General features: G+C 44.1%; 1 protein-coding gene across 19 annotated transcripts in view, besides 3 other annotated features; it reads right to left on the reverse strand.

Annotated features, from left to right (window-relative positions):
- Positions 1 to 23415, reverse strand: part of NINL (ninein like) — a 132835-nt gene that overhangs the window by 65788 nt on the left and 43632 nt on the right. For 14 of the 19 annotated variants that reach the window (XR_007067446.1, XR_007067445.1, NM_001318226.2 and 11 more), the window contains exon 2: positions 7924 to 8114. Coding sequence is in view for 17 of the 19 variants with exons in the window: in XM_047440022.1 (XP_047295978.1) it covers positions 7924 to 8114 (191 nt within the window). In the remaining 2 variants the exon portion in view is untranslated. Of the gene's footprint in view, positions 1 to 7923; positions 8115 to 21537; positions 21890 to 22243; positions 22321 to 23415 lie in introns of those variants that run through there. The other 5 variants (XM_047440032.1, XM_047440024.1, XM_011529187.3 and 2 more) reach the window with 2 other exon arrangements.
- Positions 7549 to 8104: an enhancer, noted in NCBI's record as "H3K27ac-H3K4me1 hESC enhancer chr20:25506669-25507224 (GRCh37/hg19 assembly coordinates)". NCBI's record gives its function as "activates a minimal SCP1, AML or CMV promoter by ChIP-STARR-seq in naive H9 embryonic stem cells {active_cell/tissue: H9 hESC(naive)}" and the evidence as "EXISTENCE:reporter gene assay evidence [ECO:0000049][PMID:30033119]".
- Positions 8105 to 8659: an enhancer, noted in NCBI's record as "H3K27ac-H3K4me1 hESC enhancer chr20:25507225-25507779 (GRCh37/hg19 assembly coordinates)". NCBI's record gives its function as "activates a minimal SCP1, AML or CMV promoter by ChIP-STARR-seq in naive H9 embryonic stem cells {active_cell/tissue: H9 hESC(naive)}" and the evidence as "EXISTENCE:reporter gene assay evidence [ECO:0000049][PMID:30033119]".
- Positions 14079 to 15079: an enhancer, noted in NCBI's record as "NANOG-H3K27ac-H3K4me1 hESC enhancer chr20:25513199-25514199 (GRCh37/hg19 assembly coordinates)". NCBI's record gives its function as "activates a minimal SCP1, AML or CMV promoter by ChIP-STARR-seq in naive H9 embryonic stem cells {active_cell/tissue: H9 hESC(naive)}" and the evidence as "EXISTENCE:reporter gene assay evidence [ECO:0000049][PMID:30033119]".

Consider the following 23415-nt stretch of genomic DNA (forward strand, 5'->3'; position numbering starts at 1 on the left):
AGAAACTACCCCAGCTTTCTTTTGGAAAGTATTTACATGATATTATCTTTTTATTGAATTTTTCATTCCAATTTTTAATATCCTTATGTTTTAGCTATGTCTCTTAAGAATAGTAACAGTTGGATTTTGTCCAATCTGACAAACTTTATCCTTTAACTTAAATATGTAATCTAATTACATTTAATGTGATTACTGATTTACTGGATTTAAACTGACTATTTCGCTTTCTGCTTTCAATTTGACTTGCTTGTTTTTTCTCTCCCCTCCCCCACCCTGCTTTTGGATTTACTATTTTAGGATTTCACTTTTCTCTTATTAATTTAGACGTTATGGCCAGGCATGGTTGCTCATGCCTGTAATCCCAGCACTTTGGGAGGCCGAGGCAGGTGGATCACTTGAGGTCAGGAGTTCAAGACCAGCCTGGCCAATATGGTGAAACCCCATCTCTGCTAAAAATTCAAAAATTAGCCGGGCATGCTGGCGTGTGCCTGTAATCCCACTACTTGGGAGGCTGAGGCAGAAGAATCACTTGAACCCAGGAGGCGGAGGTTGCAGTGAGCCGAGATAGCGCCATTGCACTCCAGCCTAGGCAACAGAGCGAGACTCTGTCTCAAAAAAAAAAAAAAAAAAAGGAAGTTATATAGTCTATTTCCACTTTTGTACTGATTACCCTAAAATTACAACATCCATTCTTAGCTTACCAAAGTTGAGTATTAATAATACTTTTACTGTCTTCTATGACAATACAAAGCCAGTGAAATATATTAGCTCCAGTTACCACACTCCTGACTTCAATGCCTTTGTTATCATGTATTTTATATGTTTTAAACCCTCACAAAATACTATTTTTGGTTTTGTATAATGTTCATTTTAGAATTATCCCATAGTTATTCTGTTTTTCATTTCTTCTTGCAATTCTGACTTTCCATCTGGAATAATTTTCCAACTATTTAAAATACATCTTTAGAACTTTGTTTTTCTTGAATATGCCAGTGCCAAATATTTTGTCTAACATGTTTTTATTTTACATTAATTCTTTTTTTACAAAGAAATAATTTATAACTTATAAATTATCCTTTTAGAATAGTGGAAATGACTCTGCTGTCCATTTAAACAGAATGGATAAACAAATTGATACAGGCATAGTCATACAATGAAATACCTGACAATGAAAAAGAACAAACCACTAATAGACACAGTAACACGAATGTATCTCAGAGACATACTATGGAGTAAAGAAGCCAGAGAATGGCCGGGTGCGGTGGCTCTTGCCTGTAATCCCAGCACTTCGGGAGGCAGAGGCAGGGTGATTGCTTGAGCTCAGGAGTTGGAAACCAGCCTGGGCAACATGGTGAAAAAAAATACAGTAATTAGCCGGGCATGGCGGCATGTGCCTGTAGACCCAGCTACCTGGGGGGCTGAGGCAGGAGGATTGCTTAAGCCCAGGAGGTCGAGGCTACAGTGAGCCAAGATCATGCCTGGGTGACGAAGTGAGACCCCGTCTCAAAAAAAAAAAAAAAAAAAAAAAAAAAAAGGCCAGAGAGTATGTATTGTGTATTAAAATGCAGAATTTAAAATTCAGAAACAGGAAAAAAAAATCTCTGATGTTGGTGTCCAGGCAGTGGTTGACCTTTGGTAGTAGAGGAACCAAAAAGAGACATGATGAGGGATAAGGGTGTGATGGTTACACAGGTGCGCTCAGTTTGGAATATTCACTGACCTGTACACTTGGACACATGGCTCTTTTCTCTAGGTACGCTTCAGTGAAAGTCACACAGAAAGAAATCAACAGAAGGGCTATTAGGCTGGTCAAAATATCACCACTAAGTGTTGGAGAAGAAGGTTTGGGGCCATAGGTCCAAGCATGCTTCCAAAATCTGACCAAGAATTTGCATGAGCACACCTCTGTTGCTGCCATTGAATGCAAAATGTGGCTGTTTCTTTGCAGACACCTCTGCCTGGGACACACATGTATTACTATCTGACATTAAATTATACATGCATTTGCTTATTTTCTGCCCCCCAGTTAAAATGTGAGCTCACTTTTGGCATATAGTAGGGACTCAACAAATATTTATTGGGTGTCTTTGCCTCTGTATCCTTTCACTGCTAACCAGAACTCTCCTTCTCACAGAGGCATTCTTTCACCTTTATTCTTAAAGGATATTTTTACTCGGTATGAAATTCAGGTTGACAGTTATTTTCTTCTAGCATATTGAAGATATCTTTCCACCGTCTTCTGACTTCTACTGTTGCATTACAGAAAGCAACGGTCAATCTAACTATGGCTCACTTTTAGGATATGTCTTTTCTCTAGCTTCCCTTTTAAAATTATTAAACTTTTCATCTTGAGATCATTATAGATCCATATGCAGTTATAAGAAAAATACAAAGAGATCCTGTGTACCCACTTCTGGCTGTTTTTAAGATATTCTCTCTGGCTTTGTTTTCCTTCAGTTTCACATAATACGCCAGGTATAGATGTCTCTTTATCCTGCTTGGAATTCCATGGGCTTTTGGAATCCCAAGAAGTATGTTTCTGTCCTGAAAATGTTTTAGCTATTACTTCTTCACATAATGCCCCTCCAGCATTCACTTGTTTCCTCCCAGGACTCCAGTTAAAGGGATGCTGGACTTTCTCACTCCATCTGTACCACCTCTTTTTATATCTTCATGCTGCATTCTGGATGACTCCAGTTAATGAATGGTCTCTTCAGCTGTGTCTAATCTGCTGTTAAATGCTTCTATTTAGTTTTAAATTTTGGTGATCATACTTTTCAGTTCTAGACATTTTATTTGGTTCATTGTTCAGATTTGTTACTTCACTTTTCAGAGTTCTTTTAGATATTTTTTAAGCTCTAAAAAAATCTCTAATATAGTAACCATAGTTGTTTTATATTTTGTGTCTAACAATTCTAATATCTCACATATTTGCGGGTGTGCTTCCATTGTCAGTTGTTTCTGCTAGTTCTTGCTCATCTGTCTTGTTTGTTTGCCCAGCTTTCCTTTATCATATGCTGGTCATTGTATTTGGCTATTATTTAGGAAAAATTTCAGATTTGGGATGGTGGCACTTTTATTGTTTGCTTTGGCTAGGTGCCTATCCATGCAGTGCCAGTAATCTAAGTGCAGGATTTGAGATTATCTAGTGTACTGAGGGATATAAGACCAGACCACAAAGCAGTATAATGACTGACTGCAATTCATCTTTACCCTACAGGTCTTACCCTTCAGGATTCTTCCTTAAATTTGGGGTTGGTTTGTCAACCCTGGGTTTCTACCTTGAATGACTCCGGGTTTTGACATATGTTTCTGGGGCTCTTTGAGGCCCCCAAGGTCACAGATCAATTTCTCAGTTGCTTACTTAAAATCACAAAATATTCTCAGGGAAAATGGGCTTTTGTGTGCTAAGCTTACCTCTCTGGGTACTTAATTTACTACACTTTTTTTTTGTTTGTTTCTGAGACAAGATCTCACTCAGGCTCAATCACAGCTCACTGCAGCTTCAATCTCCCAAGCTCAAGTGATCCTCCACCTTGGCCTCCTGAGTAGGTGGGTCTACATGTGTGTACCACCACCCCCAGCTAATTGTTTTTTATTTTTAGTAGAGACAAGGTCTGGCTATGTTGCCCAGACTGGTCTTGAACTCCTGAGCTCAAGTGATTCTCCTGCCTTGGCCTACCAAAGTACTGGGATTACAGACCTGAGCCACCATGCCAAGCCTATCGCAGATTTTTTGACTGGCAATTTCTCACTGATTTATTTGCTCTTTACTGTTTTCAAAATATTTGTTTTTATTATTTTGTTCAGTTTTTCTAGTAGTCCTCCTTGAAAGCTTGGCCTGAGTTAGCTCACTTGCCACTATCAGAACATCTGAACTGCTTCTTCCTTTTTTTAGGGCTGCAAAAAGATTTCAACAAATGGAGCTACCAGGATTATTTAACCAATCCCATACTGAAAAAGCTGTTTCCACATTTTTCCTATCTGAATCAATGCTAGAATGCATACCTTGAATGCATGTCCTTTCACATGAAGATAGAAACTGTGAGTCTTTCCTCCTTGCATCCCTAGCATCTGGTGTTGCCTAGCACATAATAAGTCCCTCAAAAATAGTTGTCAAATACTAAACGAATGATGAAATTGCAATTTTGCTCATTCTAATCACAGATTCTTTTGTGTTGTTGGTAATAATTGCCAGCTGACTTTCTTCCATCCATCAAAGAGCAGTGGGATCAGATGGCCCAGTCTGGTGCCATTTCAGTCTGATACCATCTTGACCACACTTGTCTGTTTTCTTGTGTCCTTCTTTACAGTTCACAAAAGGCGAGCGGCAACCCCATATATTCAGGTATTTTACCAATAAGATACACCATCCCATCTCTGCATGATCTTAGACTCATTCATCACAAAGTAAAGAGGCTGCAATGTGTGATCTAGAGGTACTTTCAACTTCAAATTACAATTGTCTCTCAGTATCCCTGGGGGATTGGTTCCGGGACCCTTGGCAGATACCAAACTCCACAGATACTCAAGTCCTTTGTATAAAATGTAGTATTTGCATATAACCTATGCTCATCCTCCTGTATGTTTTAAATTAGCTCTAGATTACTTATAATAGCCAATACAATGTAAATACTATGTAAATAGTTTTAGGCTGCATTGTTTAGGAAATAGTGAGAAGAAAAAGGTCCATACCTGTTCAATAGAGATGTGACCATCCTTTCTTTTTCTGAATATATATATATGAGAGAATATATATATATGAGAGAATATATATATATATATGAGACAAGGTCTCATGCTGTTGCCCAGGCTGGAGTGCAGTGACACAATCACACCTCACTACAGCCTCAAACTCCTGGGCTCAAGCAATCCTCCCAGCTCAGCCTCACAAGTAGCTGGAATTACAGGTGCATGCCACCACATCCAGCTACCTTTAAGATTCTTCTGTAGAGACGAGGTCTCACTCTGTTGCCCAGGCTAATCTTGAACTCCTAGACTTAAGCAATCCTCTCACATTGGCCTCCCAAAGTGCTGGGATTACATGTGTGAGCCACCGCACCTGGCCTGTTTCATTTTTATGAGATTTCTGTATCAGTAACGTTTATATAATATCATATATGATAGTTACTACAAGGACTGGATATGTAGTATTTGTTTGTTTGCTTGTTTTTTTGAGATGGAGTCTTGCTCTGTCGCCCAGGCTGGAGTGCAATGGCGCGATCTTGGCTCACCGCAACCTCCACCTCCCGGGTTCAAGTGATTCTCCTGCCTCAGCCTCCTGAGTAGCTGGGATTACAGGTGCGTGCCACCACGCCGGCTAATTTTGTATTTTTATTAGAGATGGGGTTTCACCACATTGGTCAGGCTGATCTCCACCTCCCGAACTTGTGATCCACCTGCCTTGGCCTCCCAAAGTGCTGGGACTACAGGTGTGAGCCACTGCGCCTGACCCAGATATGTAGTATTTGAACTGAAAAGCCAATCCATTCTCCTGGATAAAGGGTTTATCTTGGTTTTGAGACTCCCTGAAATCTCTACCATTGGGTTTCTTGTAGAAAAACTGGGACACCTATACGGATATTTCTGACTTGATACCGCTTCCCTTAAATCTCTGTATGACGTTCCACCTATAGGGGCTGTGGGAGCTCTGCCCTGTCTGTGGTATGAAGCAGAGAAGCAAGCAGAGCCTGAAAAGAAAAATGGTCCACCATGACCAACCATCTCCGAGGAGACAGGATGAAGGGACAGGCAGGGAGAGGTGAACGCTAGGCATCTGCAGCACCAGCAGGGTGCTCTCGAAATGTTACAGAGAGAAGAGAAAGGATAACGTCAGAGCAGAGTCGAGAGCACTAGTGCAAACAAAGTGACTTCTTAGTTTATCTAACATCTGACTTGCTTTCTGGGAAGCATGGCTGTAGGAGGGGATGGAGCTGGGACAGACGGAAGGACGATGGCTGGACACGCATGGCTATCCCAGGGGGAGCTGAGTCAGAAAGGGCCCGGCTCCTGCCACTGCTTGTGGTACCCAACTTTCTTCTCATCCCCTCCCCACACACATATGAGAAGCCTCAGGCCTCCTGAAAGGAAATTCCATCTCAGATGAGCCGCTTTTCAGGGTGCGTGTGACAGGGTTCCAGTCAGAAATCTCATGTAACCCAAGCGAATTTCTCTCCTTGCTGATGCTCTAATACCAATCATGGTTATTCTATCAGAATTGGATGTTTCTGTCTTGTATCATTCCTGTAAACATAAAGTGAAGAAATCCTTGGGAATGACGTGGCTTATTCAATCAGCAGAGCCTGCAATCTGAACGTGGACCCAAAGTTACTCTTTTGGTTTTGAATTTTCCAAAGTTTGATTTCTAAATTCTTGATTTTTCAAAAATATCAATTCAGCAAGAGACAGACTCAAATTAAAATATATATATATATATATATGTGTGTGTATATATATATATATAAATAAATAAACGGGACCATCTGTCTGTATTGCTTAAATAACCAGAGCGTTGATTTTTCATAAATGTGCCTTTTGCTCATCTATGTCCCAAACACACTTCCAGGTGATATCAAGAGAGGCTAGATCATTATCTATCAATAACACATTTGCCTTCTTAAGCGCATTGAAAAATGCAGGAATAGAAACCAAAGTCAGAGAAAGGGCATGAGTTTGCCTGAGGAGAGTTCCTTATGAGGGAGGCACAGTGCCCTGCTGACAGGGCAGGTGAGGCTTCTTTGAGGAACTAACAAGAAGTCGGATTCAACCAGACTCTCTACTAGGCCAGCAGTGAGTGGTTCTTTTCTTCATTTGTTTTGGCCCAAGGGCCATTTCAGGAAAATTTACTGGCTGGGTTTCTTTTCCCCAATTCAAAATAAAAATACTGGCTGGGTGCAGTGGCTCATACTTGTAATCATAGCACTTTGGGAGGCCAAGGCACGTGGATTGCTAGAGCTCAGGCATTCGAGACCAGCCTGGGTAACATGGCAAAACCCCATCTCTACAAAAAAAATACAAAAATTAGGCCGGTGTGGTGGTGCAGGCCTGTAGTCCCAGCTACTTGGGGGACTGAGGCGGGAGGATTGCTTGAGTCTGGGAGTTGAAGGTTGCAGTGAGCTGAGACGGCTCCACTACACTCCAGCCTGGATGACAAAGTGAGACTGTCTCAAAAAAACAAACGAAAAGAAAATACTGAGTCTTGTGGAAAAAATATTATTCCTTCAAAGTTAAGATGACCAACAAGATAAGGCACTGCTGTTAGCAGTAACATCCAGGCATGTTTAAGAAGTAGGAATGGGGAGGTGCTTTTTAGTGTTTTGATCATGAAAGCAGGTTGCAGTCTAGGACCAAGATCCCCATTCTAGATGATCTTGACCTTCTGATAGAAAAGAACCCTCTAATTTCACGTTTTCTATCTGGCCTAGATGAAATTATGGGATACTTTTGGACATGGGTATCCTTTGTTCTTTCAACAGTAGCTTGCAATTGTTTTGTCCAACTCCTAGATGGACTTCAAACTGTGAAATTGTGTAAGACAATCTGCCTTCAAGGGACTGTGACGCTCTCTCTGATTACCAGTGTGAGCTGCTCACAGGTCCAACCCATGTGGTCTTTGTGAATCACACACCACTGGCCTATACCAAACTCCTTCCCCATTCTGCCCCTGTGACAAACCACTAAAATATCTCTCTGGAAAAACAAAACCAAACCTCTGGAAGTTACCACATTAAAAACAAGTAATCTTAAGAAACCACTTTCTACAATGTAGAATTTCCATAGAGGGAAAAACTAGGACACTGTTCCATTTGCTAATAACTTTCCTTTGACACTTGAATCCTTATTCAGCTGATATTTATCAAATGCCCATAAGAGCCAACTATAGACCCCGTGCTTTCCTTTATGACAATGAAGTCCAACACTCACCCTGGCGAAATGGTCGTTTCCGAGAAGCGTCTGCAGGAGGACGGGCAGCTGCTGCTCCAGGTGAAGCTTAAGGCAGAGCTGGGTCAGCTCCTGGCGGTCCAGAAAGCCAGTCCCCGTGGTGTCGCAGCTGCTGTAGACTTCCCTGAGCTGCGAGACATAGTGGTTCTCTTCTTCATCCATCCCATAGCAGGCTGGCAGTGTGCAAGGGAAGAAGAAAACATCAGGACACTTTCCCACCTCCCCTCCCATTCCCACACTGCCGGTGAGCACCGAGCTACATGGTCCAAGCAGACGCAGGAGCTGGCATGTGGGGAAGGCACCAGGGACCCTTGCAGGGCCAAGCACACAGTGGGAGGACTCAGCTCCACCCTTGCAGGAGAGGCCAGAGCAGGTTAACAGGGAGTGAGGATAAATAGTCCTTCAGTCGTCAGTCACAAGAACCAGAATTTCTTTGTTGTATGAAAAATATCCATTAGGCCAGGTATGGGTGACTCACGCTTGTAATCCCAACACTTTGGGAGAAAAAGGCGGGAGGACTGCTTGAACCCAGGAGTTCAAGGCTGCAGGGGCCTTGACAGTGCCACTGTTCTTCAGCCTGGGCAGCAGAGTGAAACCCTATCTCAAAAAGGAAACTATTCTAGAATAATTAGAAAATAGAGATATGTAGTATAAAGAAAACTAAAACCATCAAAAATTCCACTACCATATAAAAACACTACTATTAATATTTTGACCAGCATACAATCTGATTTTTTTTTTTTTGGGAGACAGGGTCTTGCTCTATTGCCCAGGCTGGAGTGCAGTAGCGTAATCTCAGCTCACTGCAACCTCTGTCTCCTGGGTTCAAGTGATTCTCCTGCCACAGCCTCACAAGTAGCTGGGACTACAGGTGCACGCCACCACTCCCAGCTAATTTTTCTATTTTTACTAGAGACGAGGTTTCACCATGTTGGACAGGCTGGTCTTGAACTCTTGACCTCAAGTGATCGCCTGCCTTGGCCTCTCAAAGTGCTGGGATTACAGGTGTGAACCACCGCACGCAGCCCAGATTAATTTTTCTGTACACACGTACAAATGTAGTTTTTTTCCTTACAAGGGTTTCTGTTTTTTTTTCAAATAATAGGTAGTAAAAATTTTACTGAATTGTACTAAATGAAAGTGCTTACAATAAGGAAAAAAAGGAAACTCCAATAAAAATACACAGAGGATGTTAATAAATCACAAAAGATATATATATATAATTAATAACCATCTAAAAATGCTCAAATTAAAACCAAGATATGCTATTTGTAACTGTCAAATTATCAAGACTAAAAATCCTGGATGCCTCTTGTAAGCAAGGGATCTCGTCCACTGCTGGAGGAAGGAATTGGCAAACATTTCTGGGGGGTACTTTGTCTTTATATCAAGAATACTTAAAATATTAACTGGCCTAGTATCTACTTACATGAAATTCCTTATATTTAAGAAAATAGTTACAGACAAAGATATGAGTTCATCAGAATATTATTTATATAAGGACAGGAAAGAAAATAACCTAAAATATCCAACAGAAGAATAGTTTGTCAAATTACTGTGTATTTATATGACAGAATATTAAACAGTCTTGAAATTCACATTTATTTATTTTTGACTGTTTAGAGACAGGTTCTCACTCTGTCACCCAGACTGGAGTGCAGTGGCACAATCATAGCTCACTGTAACCTTGAACTCTTGGGCTCAAGAGATCCTCTTGCCTCAGCCTCTCAAGTAGCTGGGACTATGGATGCATACCACCGTGCCCAGCTAATTTATTTAAAATTTTTTTACCAAGATAGGAGTCTCACTATGTTACCCAGGCTGGTCTCAAACTTCTGGACTCAAGTGATTTCCTGCTGCGGCCTCCCAAAGTGCTGGGATTACAAGGTGTAAGCCACTGCACCCAGCCAAAATCACATTTCTGAAAAATATTTAATAGAATGGGCAGTGTAGAAGAATAAAAACTTTATAATAATAGTAATAACTAATCTACTTACTGGTCACTTTACATATAATAATTCATTTATGCCTTATAACAATTCTACCAGGAAGCTTCTGCAACTTTCTGGAGGAAAATATATTTAAAAAAAGGGAAAAAAGAAACAAATACATCAAAATGGTAAGAAATGCTTTCATGGTATTACACATTTATATTTCCTATTTTATATATTTTTATATCTCTCAAAAATTTTAGAACAAGTAGAACACTTTTGTAAGTAGAAAATGTTACTAAAACACAAAAAACATTAAAGCCCTAAAGATATTCAGATAAACCACATAAAACCACCAATATTAGGCCATCATTCTGACCCACAAAAACGGCAATTTCATATGGTTCAGCCTATAAGGTAGGCACAAGAACTAAGGAACAATTCTAAAAAAGAGGAAATATAAGGAAACAACAACATGAAAAGTCAATCAAGCTCATTCATAATCAAGTAATTCGTAAACATGAAACAATGAAGCAACATCTCTTTCCAGCAAGGCACAGCACAGTAAATGCCAGTTCTATATAGATGTCGCTTTAATGTGGCGGGAGGCGTTTACTTGCCATCATCCACACAGGGTACGGAAGTTGGAGTCAGAAAAAGAATGTATGAGGAGTTGAAAATCTGTTCAGATCAACTCCCCAATGGAAAATGTGCATGCTCCTCATCTTACTCAGGAAAACAATATAATCAGTGATATAAAAATTAATGTTGGCCAGGTATGGTGGTGTGAGCCTGTAGTCTCAGATTCTCAGGAGGCTGAGGCAGGAGGATAGCTTGAGCCCAGGATTCAAGGCTACAGTGAGCCATGATCACACCATTGCACTCTAGCCTGGGTGACAGAGCAAGATCTTGTCTCTTAAAAAAAAAAATTAAGTAGAATCTTCATGGTGACATTAAACTGATTGTAGAAGGTGAACACATCTGACCTTTTAATTAAACACCTGTTGATAAGCTGTTAAAAACAGCCAGTATCTACACTGAGAATGAACAAACCGGTTCATAGTCTCAGAGGTGCAGGTGAAAATGATAATCTGCTCAGCATCTGCAAGGGCCTGCCCTATTTGCTAATCAAATTACTCAACCCTTCTCAGACAGGAGTAGACAGAGGTTCAGACAGGGCGAAGACGAGTGAACTGTGAACATCTGCCTCCTCTTTCAGACTGTTTTGAGATGGTAACAATGAAAATGGACAGAAAACCATAAACAATAAATCGGAAAGCAAACTAAGCCTGGGCAACATGGTGAGACCCCGTCTCTACAAAAAACAGAAAGAACTAGCTGGGCGTGGTGGTGCATGCCTGTAGTCCCAGCTACTTGGGAGACTTAGGTAGGAGGATCACCTAGAGGCCAGGAAGTCGAGGCTGCAGTGAGCTGTGATAGCGCCACTGCACTCCAGCCTCAGCAACAGAGCCAGACCTCGTCTCAAAATAAATAAATAAATACAAATGAAAAAGAAAGACAAGTGGTAAAATTCAGAATGTGAAAGGCAAGGAATGGGGACAGAGGGCAGAGTGGCTGGTGGAAGGACCCCAGGCAAAGGGGAGCAGGATGCCTCCAGGGCTCACCCAGCCCACCAGGGCCCAATTTCCAGCCCTTTCCCGTGTCTCCAAGAATCATGAAAAAATCTGTTTTGAAAATTCCTCTACTTTTTTTCTCTTTTATGTTTAGTTGTAACCAATTCAACCATTTAAAGCATATAAAATAAAGAACATAAAATAAGCCTGTCCCTTTATCCTCCCTGCTTCCCAGAAGAATCACTGCTTGGAACACAGGCTTTGAGATCATTTCTAAGTCTCTAGAACAGATGGGCGGTGAGGCACACGCACGTACATAACACATAGACACACATGTATTTTCACATAAGTATAATAAGTATAACACTGAACACATTATTTTCCAACTTGTTTTTAAACTTGCACTGAGAGATTGTTCCCTGCCTCCCTCATTTTAAAAAATACAACGTGCTCTTGTGTGCAGGGCTGTAACATCATGTATCTAAGTATTCTCAGAGAGAGACGTTGGGCAAATCCAGGGTTTTCTCTTACATCACCTCCTGCTTGTATGGGCATATGTAATCTGAGGGGCAGGGGAGTATCGGGGAAAATTCAGCCAGATATTGGGCAAAATTCACCCCCGATATTTCACATAGGTTCTTTTCTATTTTCCCTAAGCATCGGCCGGTTTGAGAAATAAAGGGACAGAGTACAAAAGAGAGAAATTTTAAAGCTGGGTGTCTGGGGAGGCATCACATGTTGGTAGGTTCCGTGATGCCCCCCAAGCTGCAAAACCAGCAAGTTTTTATTAGTGATTTTCAAAAGGGGAGGGAGTGAGCGAATAGGTGTGGGTCACAGAGATCACGTGCTTCATAAGGTAATAGAATATCACAAGGCAAATGGAGGCAGGGCAAGATCACAGGACCACAGGACTGGGACGAAATTAAAATTGCTAATGAAGTTTCAGGCACACATTGTCATTGATAACATCTTATCAGGAGACAGGGTTTGAGAGCAGACAACCGGTCTGACGAAAATTTTATTAGGTGGGCATTTCCTCGTCCTAATAAGCCTGGGAGCGCTACGGGAGACTGGAGCTTATTTCATCCCTACAGCTCAGCCACAAAAGACGGCTGCACTCAAGGGGGCCATTTTAGAGGCCCACCCTCAGGGACGCATTCTCTTTCTCAGGGATGTTCCTTGCTGAGAAAAAGAATTCAGCGATATTTCTCCCATTTGCTTTTGAAAGAAGAGAAATATGGCTCTGTTCTGCCCAGCTCACAGGTGGTCAGAGTTTAAGGTTATCTCTCTTGTTCCCTGAACATTGCTGTTATCCTGTTCTTTTTTCACGGTGCCCAGATTTCATATTGTTCAAACACACATGCTCTACAAACAATTTGTGCAGTTAATGCAATCATCACAGGGTCCTGAGGCGACATACACCCTCCTCAGCTTACGAAAATGATGATGAGATTAAGAGATTAAAGTAAAGACAGGCATAGGAAATCACAAGGGTATTGACTGGGGAAGTGATAAGTGTCCATGAAATCTTCACAATTTATGTTCAGAGATTACAGTAAAGACAGGCGTAAGAAATTATAAAAGTATTAATTTGGGGATCTAATAAATGTCCATGAAATCTTCACAATTTATGTTCTTCCACCATGACTTCAGCCGGTCCCTCCGTTTGGGGTCCCTGACTTCCCGCAACAGGGGAGAAGACAAAACCTCCTGCATCGAACATCCCTGCTCCTTCCTCTTCGTGAGCTCTGAAAGGTATGAACCAACCACTGTTTCCTCCTGACCATGCCCCAAAAGCTGTGCCTTTGGGAAGGTCCAGGAGGGCTTCCCAGACAGCGAGGCTTGGAGGAAACGCGGCTGAGCTGTTTTCCCAATGTCAGAGGGTAAAAAAGGGATCTCTTCATCTCCCGGCTGTGGGCAAGTCCTGCACCTAAGCCAGCTGGGGGTGCCTGGCCTTGGCTCTCAGCTCTCCCTACACCACAGCTATTTTTACTACACAGGGGAAGGCACAAAATGGGGACTCAAAGTTCTTTCTCAGGGGCATCTTTCCCTTTCTAAACAAGATGGGGAAAGTCTCTAACTGGGGCCTGCAGAGCCCTGGCTGCCCTTAGAAGGACAGCTCTGTGTGTGGCCAGGCCTGGCCCACGACACTGCAAACCCTCTGTGGAACTAAGAGAGGCACAAAAAAGGAAAGACCCTGCCATGGCTGGGACTGCAGGGGCAGCAAGGCTGGAGAATGAGCTCCTTCCCTGCCACTCACAGCAGCTGGGCCTACCAGTCCCTTCCATGCGTGGGGCTCTCAGGAGGCCCCAGCCACACCGCTTCCCTTCCTCCCAGAGCCCCAGATTCACGTTTTCGAGGCTGGGCTAGGATTTCCAGAAGAGGGAAGGAGCTTCAATTCCCGTATGACTACGAATAAAGCATCCACAGGAGGGCTGGCCAGCAGGGCTGGCGTCTGGCAAACAGCGGTCCCCTCTGGCCCTGTCTTTGCAGGCTCATGGCATAGGCAGTAGGGGGAGCCCACCCATCTGACCAGCCAGCCCCCAAGGGGATCTGCAGCTCTGCTCCACTGTCCCCATGTGAGCAGGGAAATACAGGCAGCCCCCACCACTTCTCAAGGCTGCACTGAGCCTTCTCAAAGCCCATGGCTGAGTTACTGAGCATTCAGAGCCGCTCCTCTCCTCTCCTCTCCCTAACTCCTGCGTCTCAGACTCTGCCCAGAGAGCAGCTGCTTCACCTATTGGTGAGTCAGGTGCGGGCAAGCAGGTGAGTCAGACACAGCAGGTCTACAAGCCAGTCAAAGACCTTTCTGTGACAATTTGCCAGCATATGGCCTAACCCCTATCCAAGACAATATCCAGCCACATTTTCAAAATAAAGGAAACGAGGAGGTACTGTCTCCTCCCATACACCCGATAGAACCTGTCCTCCCCTCACCCCAGGAAGAGGGGCAAAGCGTCTTTCCGTAACCTCTCAAATACCCCATGACCAACCTTAGCAAATGGAGGCAGTTGGAAACCCTGGCCAGGAAGGCTTAGAAAAACTCCAAGGCTCCACAGAAGACTGCATTCACCTGGAAAGCGGCCCGGCTCAGCCACATAGGAACCCCGCTGCAGAGAGGCTGGCCGCTTCAAGTGGCTGCCCTGGGATCCAAGAGCCCCAGAACACAGCCCAGGCAACACGACAGCAGACAAACCATGAACCCCGCAGAACTGTGGAGGGTCTCAGAAGCAGTGGAGCAGCCTGAAGATGGGGCTTAGAATTCCAATGTTCACACACACTCCAATCCCTGGAGTCTGGAGCCGATGATGCCAGGCGGATGTGGGAGAGGAGAATAATGAAGGGGCTGAGCCCAAAACACACACACGCGCACACAGAAAAATTGCACTACCCAGAGAAGGAAAGAGGAAAGCCATTTCAGCCAGGAAACAAAACAGACTGCTGGGCAAAAAGAACGATCCGAGACCAAGGGAAGTTTCCTGGACACTGACATGTTACAGTGGCAAAACAAACGTCAACAGCAGAATCGGAAGACAAGGAAAGCTCCTATAAAGTGTATCTAAACAATAAAGATAAAAAATGAGAGAGAAAAAAAGGGAAATTAAAAATCAATTCCATACAGTAGTCAAATCAGTGTGGTCTCAGCACAGGCAGACATAGACCCATGGAACAGAATACAGACCCCAGAAATCAACCCCCATGCATACAAATGATCTTCAACAAGGGTGTCAAGACCACAAAACGGGAAAAAGACTGTCTCTCCAATAAATGCTGCAGGGAAAACTGCAGATATCCACAAGCAAAAGAACTCAGTTTAACCCTTGCTTTCTACAATATACAAAAATTAACTTTTGTAAAATTTACCAAAAATGGATCAAAGACCTTAAATGTAAGACCTAAAACTATAAAGCTTTTTATAGTTTTAACTAAAATAGTGTAATAGTTTTATAAACAGAGAGAAAGCTTCATGATGTTGGATTTGGCAGTGATTTCTTAGATATGTCACTAAAAGCACAGGCAACAAAAGCAAAGATACACAAAGGGGACTACATCAAACTTGAAAACTTGAAGGCACTGCGGGGCCAGGATGGTGGGAGCAGGGGAAGCCAAAAGAAAAGTAGGTAAACTCTAAGTCTGTCCTTCTTCCTGGCCCAGGATACACAGTCCTCCTGTGCCCAACTTCTCACCAGACACCTGCACGTTAGCTCACTGCAACCTTGGCCTTATCAGTACTGCACAAAGCCCTCTTCAGCATGCAGCATAAACACTATTCTATAAAATCCCCAACAAAGCTTTGTCTCTTTGCAGTCAGCTCCTCTCTTCCTGCTGTGCCTGTTACTCCCTTGCAATGTATTTTTCTCCTTTCTCTCTGCCTTTCTTGGTAAATTCTTCTTACCCCTGCACTGCCAGCCCCAGACAGTTGCCGCTCACTTGTGACAATAACCAAAAGAACTGAAAACAGCATCTCAAAGAGATACAGTCATGTATCACTTAACAATGGTGATAAGTTCTGAAAATGTGTTGTTAGGTGATTTTGTTGTTATGCAAACATCACAGAGTGTACTTACACAAACCAAGATAGCATGGCCTACCACAAACCTAGGCCACAAGCAGGTTCGTGTACTGAACACTGGAGGCAATTGTAACACAATGGTAATCCAAACATATCTAAACATAGAAAAGGTACAGAACTAGAGTATTGTAATCTTATGAGACCACCACTGTATATGCAGTCCATTGCTGACTGAAATATTGTTATGTGGTATATGACTATATGTACTGTCATCCCTCAATATCCATAGGGGGTGGTTCCAGGACCTCTCATGGATACCAAAATCACAGATGCTCAAGTCCCTCTATAAAATGATGTAGTATTTGCCTATAACCTATGCATATCCTCCTGTATACTTTAAATCACCTCTAGATTACGTATAATACCTAAGACAAGGTAAATGCTGTGTAAGTAGTTGTTATACCATATTGTTTAGGGAATAATGACAAGAAAACAAAAAGCCTCTACATGTTCAGTATAGAGGCAACCATCACATGCCTAACTACATTTTTGATTCATGGTTAGTTAAATCCACAGATGTAGAACCCACTGACACAAAAGACTCACTGTACTTCTGTGTACAATGAAATATTATTACACCTCAAAAAGGAGGAAAATCTTTTCATTTGCAACAACATGGATACGCCTAGAGGACATTAACGCTAAGTGAAATAAGGCCGGCATAGAGAGACAAACGCCACAGACCTTACTCAGATGTGGATTCTAGAGCAGCTGGCCGCAGAGAAGCTACGAGTGAACAGAAGTGGCCAGGGGCTGGTGTCGGGGGTTGTGGAGTTGTTGGGTAGGGGTGCAAAGTTTTGGGTAAGACATGAATAAGTTCTGGCGATCTACTGTACAACGTGGTGACTACAGTTAATAATAACATATTGTATACTCAAAAATTGCTATGAGAGTAGATCTTAAATGTCACCACAAAAAGTATTAAGTATGTGAGGGGACAGATATGTTAATTAGCTAGATTTAACAATTTTATAATGTATACATGAATCAAAACATAATTTTGTACACCATAAATATATGCATTTTTGTCAATTATACCTTCATAAACTGGGGTGGGGGAGAAGTTCTAGAGATCTGTTACAAAACTAAGCGAATCTAGTTAACATTACAGAACTGTACACTTAACAATGGTTAAGAGGGTAAATTTCATGTTGTGTTTTTTACCACCATTAAATTTAAGTAAAACATATTTTTTAAAAATAAAGAAAGAAAAGTGTTCAAAATATGGTGACCTGCTTTCTGAAACTGCCCAACTCTGTTCTCCTACAGCACTTTTATCTGGATTTTCTCCTTGCCTCCCTCTCCCGCAAAATAATCAATCCCAAATCTCTCGACATCCTTGAAAAGCCCAGAAAAGGGAGCCAAGGGAAGGGAAAGGGGAAATGATTAGAATAATACAAGACTTTTCCAAGCACACAGATGGAAAAGTCATTCCGCTTGGGACAACAAATGAAAAACACCCGCGCCAAGCACACCCTTGTGAACTTCAGAGCAAACTAACGAGTGAGCCCTACAGATGTCCAGAGAGAAAGAGCAGCCCCACATCACAGCAACAGGGATCAGAATGGCACCATGCCCACAGCAGCAAGGCTGAAAGTTCAGAGCCAACCCAGGGCCTTCCATGTGCTCAGGGTAAATGACTTTCCACCTACCCAAGAGACTATATAACCCACGCTGAATACACACTTCGGCAAAATAAGGGGTGAACCAAGAAAGTCAAAGACACAGGCTCACGATCTGGGCTCCATCCAAGACGAGAGGCTTTGGTGTAGGAGCTCAGCCAGGCCAGGGATGGGAGGTGACCAACCCCAACAGACTGCTGTGTACTGCCCACTGAGCCTTTGAGAAAAATAGGGATAGGCTTTTGACAAGGCTGATGGAGCATTTGGAAAAAATAAGAATAAATTCATTAAAAAGTAAGCCAGGGCTGGGAGCAGTGGCTCACGCCTATAATCCCAGTACTTTGGGAGGCTCAGGCAGGTGGATCACTTGAGGTCAGGAGTTCAAGACCAGCCTGGCCAACATGGTGAAATCCTGTCTCTACAAAAATACAAAAAATACAAACATTAGCTGGGCATGGTGGCAGGCGCCTAAAATCCCAGCTACTCAGGAGGCTGAGGCAAGAGAATTGCTTGAGCCTGGGGGGCAGAGTTTTCAGTAAGCTGAGATCATGCCACTGCACTCCAGCCTGGGCGATAGAGTAAGACTGTCTCCAAAAAAAAAAAAAGGTAAGCCAGTAAAAGCCCAGACAACATCAGCCCATAAAGCCAAACCTGGCAAAAGAGTAGAAGTGTAATCATGACCAACCTATTGGTTCTGCAGTGGACAATGTTATGCAGTGACAACAGCAAAAATGCACAGTGGCCACTGGGGAGCCTAGAGAGTATAAGAAATAACAGCAGAATGAGGTTTAATTACCTTGCTCATACTCTGTAGGCTATAAAACAGTACAATTAGGATATGGACATGAGTATCAGGAGAAATATCTAAGACTGAAATGTGGTTGCCTCTAAGGAGAGAGATGGGGAGATGAAGGCAACAGAGCGGGGTAGTTGATGTCAACATACACTTTTTTTAAACTTTCTGACTTCCTTTGTTTTTGAAACAGGGTCTCCCTCTTGTTGGCTGGGGTGCAGTGGCGTTGATCACGGCTCACTGCATCCTCAACCTCCTGGGCTCAAGTGATCCTCCCACCTCAGCCCCCAAGCAGCTGGGACTACAGGTGTGCACCACCCTGCCTGGCTACTTTTAAACTTTTTTGTACAGATGCAGCTTCCCTATGTTACCCAGGCTGGTCTCAAACTCCTGGGCTCAAGTGATCCTTCTACCGGGGCCTCCCAGAGGGCTGGGATTACAGGTGTGAGCCACCACATCGGCCTGAATGTTTTCATTTTTAAGCCATGTGAGTATGTTATTTGACGAAACAAAAACTGATGTAAATCCAATGGGTCAACGAGCAGCGCACCTGCTGGCTCTGCACATACAACCCAGCAGTGCTCCTGGGGAGGTGTGAAGTTCATTATGGAGCTAGTCATCCCCACACACAAAATTAAAACAGAGTACAGAATACCATAGTAAACACTGAATTTCACGGATGCAGCGCCCCACATGCACAGCAGTGTGGCTTTCAGGTAGCACCACCCTCTGTGGGTGACGGGGATGCGTCATGGGGAGGCCCTCTGGAGGGACAGCCCTGGGCTGCTGCAGGTGGAGGGTGGCTGTGGGGAGGAGGAACCTGTAAACGAGCTTCGTGCCTTCACTGTCCCATTGTGGGGGGCGCAGCTGCCTCAGGACACTGTCTCCTTCAGGCCCATGGTGGCACCACAGGCCACCATTAACGGGGCTCCTGACAAGAGTCGAAATGCACGTCACGTTAACTGCACACCTATACTTGCAGCCACACATCTACACTCGCACTCTTGCTGCTCGGTCTCTCTCCCTCCCGCTTTCTCAGGGACCCAGCCTCTACCCACCCCAGCGGTATCCACGGGACCAACACGGTGCCCTGCCCAGGCTGGGGACTCTCCTGGGGTTGGAGCTTGGCTTATCTGGGTGAAAGACACCAGGGCGTGAGATGCTGGTGGCCGCCCCTGGCCCATCCCAACCCCGCAACGCCACTGGAAGATGAACATGTGTCACCGAGTGAAGGGCAGGGAGGCATAGGCGTGGCCTGTGCACCTCAGGCACTGTCCTGAGAGGGGACTCCTGTGGTCGCCAGGTGAGGGGAGCTCTGTTTCTGTCCAGCTTCTTCCTCTGAAAGCAGGGGCTGAGAGGGGTGGGCTGCCCCACCTCTGCTGTGGCCTGTGGTCCTATGAAAAGGCCTTGCTCCTGGGCAGTGGACCACCACGGAAGGGAGGAGTCTGCCAGGTCCTGTAAAAACACTACATGGTATATTTTTTTTCTTCCACCACAACATAAATTACACCCACATTTGCTTTCCAGAGTTCTTTCAGCTCACCCCAGCCTCCTCTGGGTAAGGAATCCTTTGATGCCCTGGACCTGGTGTAGATGGTGGGCAGCTCTCAGGGGCAAAGCCAGGGCAGACATGGTCCTAGGCTGCCATATGTGGCTGGCCAACCATGGCATGGCCTCTGCTCCCAGGCATGGACATGGCCTGGCCCCAGGGTCACAGTGATGGGTAGGACTGGGGAGCAAAGGGCTGGCGAGCACAGAACTGGGGAGAAAGACAACCGCCCTAACTCTCCCCAGAGCTGGGGAGCACAGAACTAGGAAACACAGGGGTGGGTAGCACAGAACTGAGGAGAGCACAGAACTGGAGAGCACAGAACTGGGGAGCACAGGGGTGGAGAAGCACAGAACTGGGGAGCACAAGGCCGGGGAGCACAGGGCTGGGGAACACAGGGTCAGGGAGCACAGAGCTGGGCTTCAGGCCCTGACCAAGGGTGGCAGCAGAAGACACTTGCCAGCCAGGGCACCTTGGCTGTCAGCTGCTGCTGGAGAGGCCCTGCCCACTGACCTGCAGTGTTTGATCAAATGACATGAGTGCTGCCCTTTAGTGACTGGTGGGCACTTGATAAATGTTACCAAAACGTACACTAACATGGGCAGGGCTGGGGTCAGCTCCCTGGCAAGAGTGCTGATGCCCAGAATCCAGTGTCCAATTTCCCTGCAGCACAGTTGTGTGCACACTCACAGCATCAGCTGGGACAGCAAAGATAAGGAGTCAGCGAACAGCCATGCTCCTGCTGCCAGGGTCAACAGAGAGAGGCCAAGGTCACATGCCAGGGTTCACAGCAGCGGGATCTTCCTGACCCATGCAAAGACAACCCTGGATAAACAGAGGTTGGCAATGCTGACTCCACAGCCACGGAGAACCAGCAACCTGGCCCATACCTCGCTGTGAGGCCGCAGGGCCCCTGAGCGGCCAAGGCAGGCAGCTCAGGTCTGGGCAAGTCCCAGCTCCTGCCACTTGTGGCCTCGCGGTCTATAGGGTGAACTAAACACCTGCTACTAAGGGGGCGATGACTGAAAAGGCCAGGCGCTCCATACGGAGACTGCTGCTTACTCACTACACGCTGTAATACTGCCACCAAGGACACCAGAACTACCGTCCCATGTATGTACAGGTGCCCAGAATCCCAGTTTCATGCTGCTCAAACCCTATTTCCAGAGGCGCCTAGCTGCAAATCGGCCTTCCCCTCCCTCCCTACTTGGAAATACAACCAATGCAAATGACAGAACACTGAGGGGAGAAAGCCGCCCTAACTCTCCCCAGGGAGCCCACAGCGTGTGAGCCGCCCACCCAAAGCCCTCTGTTTAGACTCCCCAAAGCCTCTGTGTGAGGGCAGAGGCAAGGACACCCCTTCTCTATCATCCTTCCACAGACCCACGGGGCGGAGGAAAGAAACGGAGCTTTCCCTGAACTCTCAGGACCAAGACATTCATCCAGCACTGCCACTGCACACCCCTGCGGGTTCCCGGGGGCTCCCAGGCCTGCGCAGGCGCCTCAGTGCAGCCTCACAACAAGCAGCTCACTGTAATAATACACACTGTTTACCTGCGCAGTTCAGAGGCCTCTTCAGTTTCTTCTTCATGCAAACTGAATTATTAATACTCCTTGGTATTCCACATCTGCATAAAATGTTTGCATGTCAAAATCACCAGAAAATCTGGCCAGCATTCAGCAGCTGGCTACAAAATTGAGGGCAATATTCCAGATAAAAAGCAACAGTTTCTCTTAGTTTCATTTTTGGAAACTGGAATGAGTAGGCTCTCAATAATCCTAATGCTATAAAGCTTAATTTAAGATACAAACATAAACTTTGCCACCAAGTGAAAGAAAATCCTGTTTTCATCCAGAGGGGAAAAGCCTGTCCCCAAACAAACTGGATGCTGCCCCAGAGACATATGACGTTGTCATCGCTCTGCAGGACAGTGCAGCCCTCTGGAGGCCGGAGGAGAAGGTGTTGGTTTGCATTTAATTTAGTTAATTTATGCACAGTGACGAGGGAATTTAAGCTATGCCCCCCAGAATCCACCGGGCATTAAGGGCAGAGAAGAGATTCATGACCACTCGGAGGCAGCCTAGGTGTGCCAATCACCTAGGGACCCAGAGTGTCCGTAACGGGAAGCCATTCCCAACAAGGATCTCTGTAAATCCTGCTCGCCCAGAAAGAACAGGGCTGAGGCAGCCCTTTGAGGGTGTTCCTTTTTAATCTGGAAAGATGTTATAACCCCAATAAAACACTGAAGCCAGTGCCTACCTTCCAGCTGAACAGACCTCAGTGCTACTTCCAATGGCCTTGCCAGCAGGAATCAACCTTCACACTCCGGCAGTTCTGAGCTATTAGGATTAACTTCCGCTTTAAGTGTTTTCATGGTTTTCGCTTATTTTTCAAAATTTTTGCTATTTATTTATTTTGCAGGCACAGACCCAAAATATCTCAACAATCAAGTTTGAAAAGCTATCCCTTTTTTTTTTTATCAAATAAGGTTTAAGAAGCTTTTTTATTGTTTCAGTCCCAAAAATCTAAAAATAAGCTTATACCTCATTTAAGTGTTAATACTTACTTTCCCTACAAAGTAGATTTTTAGACTAAAAACTACAAAGATACCAAATGTTAAAACTGTCCTAGAACACCTTTCTGTGGTCTCCTAAAAAAAGACACCTCGGTACCTATCAACGCCAGACTCTGCTTACAAAGTCTCTGGTTTTAATGTGGGTTCTGCCACTTTCTAGCTCTGTGGTCTTGGACACATTACTTCACCTCCCTGAACCTCAGTTTCGTGATCTGAACAACCTGATTAGGACATTCTGAGCATTAAAAGAGCTAATGCTAAGCATGCTAACATGTTAGGTACTGAGACCCGTGCCTGATGGCAAGTACTGAATAAATGTTACCATGCCCCATTATACAGGCAAATGTGTCTGGGACTGTACACATCTCTAACCATCTACAAGCTGGGTGGGCATTTATAGCTTCCAAGATAAATAATCATATACAGCTAATCCTGTAAGTTCCTATTGTATGTCAATGTATGTAAAGACTTTTATATCCACACATACTTATATTCATGCTAGGACTATAGCTATAGATGCAAAATTTATATGTGTATCTATATAATTACAAAATATCCATACAATTAGTTATAGACATGAGATTATCCACATACACTTCTATGTATATAAAATGAGCTCTTTCTATATATATCATTACAAAAATAGGAAACTTTATTCTCAACATCAGTATCAACTTCTAACATAAATCTACTGTAAAGAAAGCAATAGTTCCTCTTTTTTACTGGAAATAGCCAATAACAGAAATAGAAGAAATGAGAGAACTAGAAGAGCACATTTGCAGCTACCACTGTAATAGCTGTAATAAGACAAGAATCATCCGTGTATGATCAAAAACAATGGGAGGAGTGACACTGT

This window comes from Homo sapiens, chromosome 20 (assembly GCF_000001405.40).
Source record: "Homo sapiens chromosome 20, GRCh38.p14 Primary Assembly".
In the NCBI taxonomy this organism is placed as follows: domain Eukaryota; kingdom Metazoa; phylum Chordata; class Mammalia; order Primates; family Hominidae; genus Homo; species Homo sapiens.